This window comes from Homo sapiens, chromosome 7, assembly GCF_000001405.40.
Source record: "Homo sapiens chromosome 7, GRCh38.p14 Primary Assembly".
NCBI classification, from domain to species: Eukaryota; Metazoa; Chordata; class Mammalia; order Primates; family Hominidae; genus Homo; species Homo sapiens.
Genome location: NC_000007.14, coordinates 143,020,808 through 143,028,449, shown reverse-complemented (window position 1 = coordinate 143,028,449; position 7,642 = coordinate 143,020,808). Strand labels below are relative to the sequence as shown.

Genomic DNA, 7,642 nt, shown 5'->3' with positions numbered 1-7,642 from the left:
TTTAATATATAAGATATATCTATGATATATTCATTTCACATAATGTATCTGTCTATATCTATATAAAAGATATATGATATATATATATAAAATATATAACTACTTAATTTATGTATGTACATTTTATGTGCCAGCCTCAGAATACAACAGTGAAGACATGTCCTAGCCCTCATGGAGTTTATATTCTAATGCCGTTGATAAATAATAAATACACTTAAATTTCCTCTCCTTCTTTCTTGCTTATTTTTTTCCCTGTGACATGATAAGCAAACTAAACTATTGCATATTTTACTTAGGTGTCTTGTGTGTGGTCTAGCCCCCACCTCTTCCTTGAATATAAGCTCCACAGGGCATGGAATTTTCTTTGTTCTGTTCATGACTACATTTGTTTATTGTTAAATAAAGGAATGAAGTAAATAATTAGACATAATACAAGGTAATAACAACTGTTATTAAAAAAATGGAAGTCCAATAATAAGTGTGTCTTTTCTGTTTTGGGCAGAGTGATTGGAAAGAGTCTTTGGAAAGGGTGACATTTGAATAATGGAATGAAGCGACAGGCAGAGAGCCAGGCATCCTTAACAGCTGGCGGTCCCAGATCTATTCCTTTTCTGTGCCAGGTGCCATCTTTCCTTCCTCCCACAACTTTGGAAGGAAAATGGAATTAGAGAAGAATGGATCTGTTCTGGGAAATTATCCCAAGCTCTAGAGTTCTCATTTAGAGATCTTGCTGTTCTGTAAAATGGAGATTTTAAAATCTGGAACAGCAGAGATGTTAGTCTTACATCCTCTGCCTCCTTTCTGCTGGCCCCAAAGGTGGGTCTATGCATTACCATTACAGATGAGAGCTGGGGTTTAAAATTCTGTCCTTTGAACATCATATAAAATGCCTTTGTGTCATCTTGCACAGTTAACCTAAGAGAAAGTAACTCCAGGACCGGAGGGACCTGATTGACTCACCTTTAAAACTGGCCTATTTAAAAGGTCTTAGCCTCTGCCCCCGAGAGAAGGTATATTTAATGGGGAAAAAGGCAAGGAAGGTATTTCACCACCAGTAGAAGAAGATGTCTTCACCCATTCTAGGGGGCTGGTTACACAGGGAAGTGAGAGCCTCACTTGTAGACTTGGGATGACAACATGTACCTCAAGCTATGTATGTGCCGACCACAGTAGCAGGGACATGTCACCTGATTCTCAGGTTGGAAATAGTTTCTTAACCTAATTTTTCTTCCTTCTCTCTTGAGAGCAGGACCATGTGGAGCAATGCCACCTCTCTTTTAATCTCTGGGCTTCAAAACAAGCAGAATCAAGGACTAAATGATGGACAACCACTCTAGTGCCACTGAATTCCACCTTCTAGGCTTCCCTGGGTCCCAAGGACTACACCACATTCTTTTTGCTATATTCTTTTTCTTCTATTTAGTGACATTAATGGGAAACACGGTCATCATTGTGATTGTCTGTGTGGATAAACGTCTGCAGTCCCCCATGTATTTCTTCCTCAGCCACCTCTCTACCCTGGAGATCCTGGTCACAACCATAATTGTCCCCATGATGCTTTGGGGATTGCTCTTCCTGGGATGCAGACAGTATCTTTCTCTACATGTATCGCTCAACTTTTCCTGTGGGACCATGGAGTTTGCATTACTTGGAGTGATGGCTGTGGACCGTTATGTGGCTGTGTGTAACCCTTTGAGGTACAACATCATTATGAACAGCAGTACCTGTATTTGGGTGGTAATAGTGTCATGGGTGTTTGGATTTCTTTCTGAAATCTGGCCCATCTATGCCACATTTCAGTTTACCTTCCGCAAATCAAATTCATTAGACCATTTTTACTGTGACCGAGGGCAATTGCTCAAACTGTCCTGCGATAACACTCTTCTCACAGAGTTTATCCTTTTCTTAATGGCTGTTTTTATTCTCATTGGTTCTTTGATCCCTACGATTGTCTCCTACACCTACATTATCTCCACCATCCTCAAGATCCCGTCAGCCTCTGGCCGGAGGAAAGCCTTCTCCACTTTTGCCTCCCACTTCACCTGTGTTGTGATTGGCTATGGCAGCTGCTTGTTTCTCTACGTGAAACCCAAGCAAACACAGGGAGTTGAGTACAATAAGATAGTTTCCCTGTTGGTTTCTGTGTTAACCCCCTTCCTGAATCCTTTCATCTTTACTCTTCGGAATGACAAAGTCAAAGAGGCCCTCCGAGATGGGATGAAACGCTGCTGTCAACTCCTGAAAGATTAGCTGTTCTGTAAGTCAGTTTTAGGTGGTCCAAGCCTCAGGGTTAATTATTAAGTCACCTAGAAAATTCTAACTCCTCTTTTCTCTTATCCTCTCATTACAAAAGTCAAAGAGTGTGTACAATTCGCCATCACACCATGGAAGTAGATTAGGCTGGTAATAATGAAATCCATTGTCTGTCCAGGAGACTCTCATAGCCTTAGTTCCTGCCTGTTTCCACTGTTGAACATATTCTTGTGATTTGGGGGGGACTAGAGAAAGGAAATGCAGACATTTTTGTAAGAATTCTATTAGCCCAACTCATTTCCTCATAGTCCATCTCTGAAAATGTATTTTCTGGGGAAGGGAGGAAGTGTGGAGGGAGGTGTACTGAGAAAGGTGTCCTAATCAGAGTAGAAAGGTAGAGATGCTCACTTTGGTCCTTCATCACCTGTTGCTAAGTTCTTCCCTATATTTTTGTGCAATTTTTTGGCAAGATGGCCATATGCATTTTAGATATCCTAAAGCTCTTTCTCTCTGCCCCATTGATACTGGAAAGGAAGTGTAACACTGTTTACGTTTTGTCACAGAACCAGTCTAGAATGGCGATATGAGGATTGGAATGCTTCTCATTCAGGAGATATTTGTGGTGTAAAGAAGATAAAAATATTTGAGGATAAAAATGGAGGAAAATTTATTTTTGTTAAGCTTCAGCATATTCCTTTCACTGCCCTTCTTTGTGGTGAGTATAGGGACAGGGGCAAATAAGAACTAAATGACTAATTCTAGAGAGCATCCTGTATTTTATGGCTGTTAAACACAACTATGTCTGTTCAGACTGTATCCAGATCTAGACTTCAAACTTTATAATGTCTTTTGATTCTCCGTCTCTCAAATCCAACAGTCTCAGTACCATCATGTGTATCTTCTCTGTGGGCAGAATTTTTTAAAAATAAGAGGCCATTCTTTTGACTCCCGGCTTTCTAGAAATTATAGGGATTGGCTGTTTGGTAGTGTAACTGTTGGAATTTCACATAATATTGGAAGAAGTCCTTATAAGGAAGAAGTTTACCTAAACAACAACAATCAGCAGATTCTACCAGCCCTAAAGTAAGTGAGAAAATTGAGCTGTTCAGCAGTGGGATGATGAGGCTACTGAGAATTTTGAAGAGTACTGTGTGAGGATGCCAGGTTGTCTTGTCCTGTGAGGAGTGATAACCGTCATGTATGTTTGGGTAGTTTGCATTGCATTAAAGTACCAGACAAGGTGGGGAATGAGCTTTAAATTCAGCCAGCCCATGCTCTGCAAGCCAACCAATGGACTCTGGTGGCACTGCATTGGCTGGAGAAAGGGGAGACTTTTGCTTAAACAAAGGTGCCCATGGTTTCCAAGCCCAGTAAATGAGGATCTGTTCTGACCAGAAAGAATACCTTTTTTCTAATTCATTAATCCAGAGAAGTATCCTTTAAGAGATGAGACAATAGAAGCTCAGAGAATTTAAATAACTTGCCAAAGTTTACTTAGCCATCCACTGTATCACATCCATCAGATTGGAAAAACATAAAACTCTGAGAATACTAAGTATTGATCTGAATGCTGGCGAATAGGGTTTTTAAAAAACCAACTTCTGGTAGAAATATAAGATATAAGATCCAAATAATTAGATAGTAGATGTCTATAATTAGGTTCTAGTATAGTCATAATAAGATAGTGGTAGTCCATTTTGCATTGCTATAACAGAATATAAATAATACCAGCCTGGATTATTTGCAAAGAAAATAAACATACTTGGCTTATGATTCTGGACACTGAAAATTTATTTGGCTTATGATTCAAGAGCATAACACCGGCATCTGACAAGGGCCTTGGTGCTGTGTCATCCTATGGCAGAAGGTGGAAGGGCAAGAGAGGGCCAGAGTGAGAGGGCAAGAGAGGGCCAAACTCATTTTCATAACAAATCCACTCTCAGAATAACAAACTCACTCCTGTGAAAACAACACTAATTCATTCATGAGGGGATATCCCTCATGACTTAATCGCCTCTTAAAGGTCTTACCTCTCAACAATGTCACAATGGTAATTAAATTTCAACATGAGTTTTGGAGGGGACGTTCATGTCATAGCACTTCACCCCTCATTCTCCAAAAGTAGTGTCCTTCTCACATACAAAATACATTCATCCCTTCCCCATAGCTGCTAAATGTCTTAACTGATTCCAGCATCAACTCAAAAGTCCAAAGACGGCCGGGCGCGGTGGCTCACGCCTGTAATCCCAGCACTTTGGGAGGCCGAGGCGGGCGGATCACGAGGTCAGCAGATCGAGACCATCCTGGCTAACACGGTGAAACCCCGTCTCTACTAAAAATACAAAAAAAAATTAGCCGGGCGTGGTAGCGGGCGCCTGTAGTCCCAGCTACTCGGGAGGCTGAGGCAGGAGAATGGCGTGAACCCGGGAGGCGGAGCTTGCAGTGAGCCGAGATCGCGCCACTGCACTCCAGCCTGGGCGACAGAGCGAGACTCCGTCTCAAAAAAAAAAAAAAAAAAAAAAAAAAGTCCAAAGACAAGTGTCTCATCTAAGTCAGATATGGGTGAGACTCAAGGCACGATTTACCCCAAGGAAAATTTCTCTTCATCTGTGAGCTTGTGAATTAATGTTACATCTTTCTAAAATATGATGTAAGACAGGCATAGAATAGACATTTCCATTCCAAAAGAAAGAAATAGGCAAGAAAAAAGAGTTGACTGGTCCCAAGTAAGTCTAAAACCCAATAGGGAAAACAACATTAAGTCTTTAAGCTGGAAAATAATCTCCTTTGACTCCATGTCCCACATCCTGGGCATGCTGGGGTTGGGGTTGAGCCCTCAAGCCTTTGCTGTGGTCAGTCCTCTCAGCAGCTCTCACAGGTTAGAGTCTAGTGCCTGCAGTTCTCCCAGGCTGGCATTGCACACTAGTAGCTCTGCAGTTCTTGAGTGTCAGGGGCATTTCTGCTCCCATGGCTTCACTAGGCATCCCCTGGTGAAGACTTTCTGTGGTGACTCTGCTCCTGCAGCAAGTTTCTGCCTGAGCCCACAGGCTTCACATGGCATCCTTTGAAATCTAGGTAGAGGAAGTCATGCCTCTGTAGCTCTTCCACTGTGCATGCCTGTAGAATTAACACCAAATGGATGCCACCAAAGTCTACCATTTGTACCTTCCTTCCAGAGTGGTAGGTCAAGCCACACCTGGGGTTACTTGAACCACACCATGAGCAGCCAAAGAACACTGTCCAGGAATGCAGGGAGCAGCAACTCCAGGTGGCCTGTGAAGCGTACCCTGTGCCCATTCCCCAAAGCTATTCTGCCCTCCTAGATCTCTAGGCCTGTAATGGGATGAGCAGCCTCAAAGATCTCTGAAATGCCCATTGTCTTGATGAGCCCTTCTATTTATACTAATCTCATTAGCAAATGGTCACTTGGTCACACCCTTGGTCTGTTCTCTTAAACACACATTTTCATTCTTTATGTGGGCAGGCTGAAAATTTTCAAAATCTTTTCATTCTGCTTTTTTTTTTTGGTTATAGATTTCATCTTTATTTCTTTTCTCTTACATTTTACTGCATATGGTTAAAAGTAGCCTTGCAGATCCTTCAATATTTTGCTTAGAAATTTCTTCCACCAGATAGTCTTATTCATCACTCTTAAATTCTACCTTCCATAAAACCCATGGGCATGGACACAGATGTAATTTTAATCTGTGTCCCTGCCCAAACCTTATGTCTAATTGTAATCCCCAGTATTGGAGGTGGGGCCTGGTGGGAAGTGATTGAACCATGGGTGCAAATTTCTCATGAATGGTTTAGAACCATTCCCCTTGGCACTGTCCTTGAGATAGATCGTGAATGAGTTCTCATGAGACATGGCCATTTAAAAAGTGTGTAGCACCTCCCTTCTCTCTCTTGCTCCTGCCCCTGCCATGTAAGAAGCCTGCATCTCCTTTGCCTTCAGCCATGATTAGAAGCTTCTAGAGGCCTCCTGAAAAGCAGAAGCCACTATGCTTCTTGTACAGCCTATAGAATCATGAGCCAATTAAACCTCTTTTTTTTTGATAAATGTCCCAGTCTCAGGTATTTCTTTATAGTAATGTGAGAACAGACTAACACAGGCACAATTCAGTTAAGTTCCTTGCCACCTCATAAAAAGAATGGCCTTTACTTTAAAAAAAGGATGGACATTCCTCTTTTCTGTCTCAGCTTTCATCAAAATGGCCATTACTTTTCATATTTCTATCAATATTCTTATCACGACCACCTAAGTAATCTTTTAAAAGTTTCAGATTTTTCTACATTTCTTCTTTTCTTCTGAGTTCTTACCAGAATTTCCCTTAGTGTTCAATTTATGGTAGTCTAGGATTCTTCTAGCCTGCTCTTCTAAATTCCTCCAACCTCTGCTCATTACCCAGCTAAAAGCCACTTCCACATATTCAGGTATTTGTTATAGCAAAAGCCCCACTCTTGGTGCACATTTTCTATCTTAATCTGTTTTTTGTTGTTAGACTAGCACAGGCTAAGTAATTTATAAAGAAAAGAAGTTTATTTGGCTCATGATTTCAGAGGCTGAGAAGTTCAAAGGCATGGTGCTGGCATTGCCAAGGGCCTGCATGCTGTGTCATTCCATGGTGGAAGGCAGAAATGCAAGAGGGAGAGAGAGCAAGAGAGGCTGAACTCTCTTGCCCTCACACGAATTTATTCATGCTCATGAAAATGAATCCACTCCCCCAATAATGACATTAATTTATCCCTGAGAGCATAACCCTCATAACCTAATTACCTCTTAAAAGTTCCACCTCTCAACACTATTACAATGGCCACCAAAGTTCAACATGAGTTTTGAAAGGGACGTGCAAACCATAGCAGTAGGAAACCTAGGAAACTTGTACTATGCATACACTGTGGCCTATTTTTAAGTTTGTTAATTCTTTCTTCAGCTATGTTGAATCTACCAATGAACCTGTGAAAATAATTCCTCATCTCCCATATCGTGGTTTTATTTATAACATTTCCATTATATTCTTTCTTATAGTTTTAAGCTGTCTATCAGAAACCTTTTCTTGTTTATGCATGTTGTCCACCTTTTCAACAACATCATTTAACGTTTTCATTACACATATTATGTTTGCATTAAGTGAATATTTTTTCTATGGCAGTCAACCCTTCATATCCATGGATTCTTCATCTTGGATTCAACCAACTGCAGATAAAAAATATTTGGGAAAAAAAGGTTGGTTGTGTATGTACTGAACATGTACATGCTTTTTAAAAATCATGATTTCCTAAACAATATAGAATAACAACTATTTACCTTGTATTAGGTATTATAAGTAATCTAAAATGATTTAATGTATACAGGATGATGTATGTAGGTTATATGCAAATAGTA

General features: G+C 40.6%; 1 protein-coding gene across 1 annotated transcript; it reads left to right on the top strand.

The window, feature by feature from the left end:
* The first annotated feature begins 1,317 nt into the window (after nt 1-1,317).
* OR9A2 (olfactory receptor family 9 subfamily A member 2) lies at nt 1,318-2,250 on the top strand. The gene has a single exon (NM_001001658.1). The coding sequence runs from the start codon at nt 1,318-1,320 to the stop codon at nt 2,248-2,250; it is 933 nt and encodes a 310-aa protein (NP_001001658.1).
* Nucleotides 2,251-7,642: the final 5,392 nt, after the last annotated feature.

Excerpts from the sequence above, each read along its gene's own strand:
- OR9A2 (NM_001001658.1), top strand. The coding sequence starts at position 1,318 with ATGATGGACAACCACTCTAGTGCCACTGAATTCCACCTTCTAGGCTTC.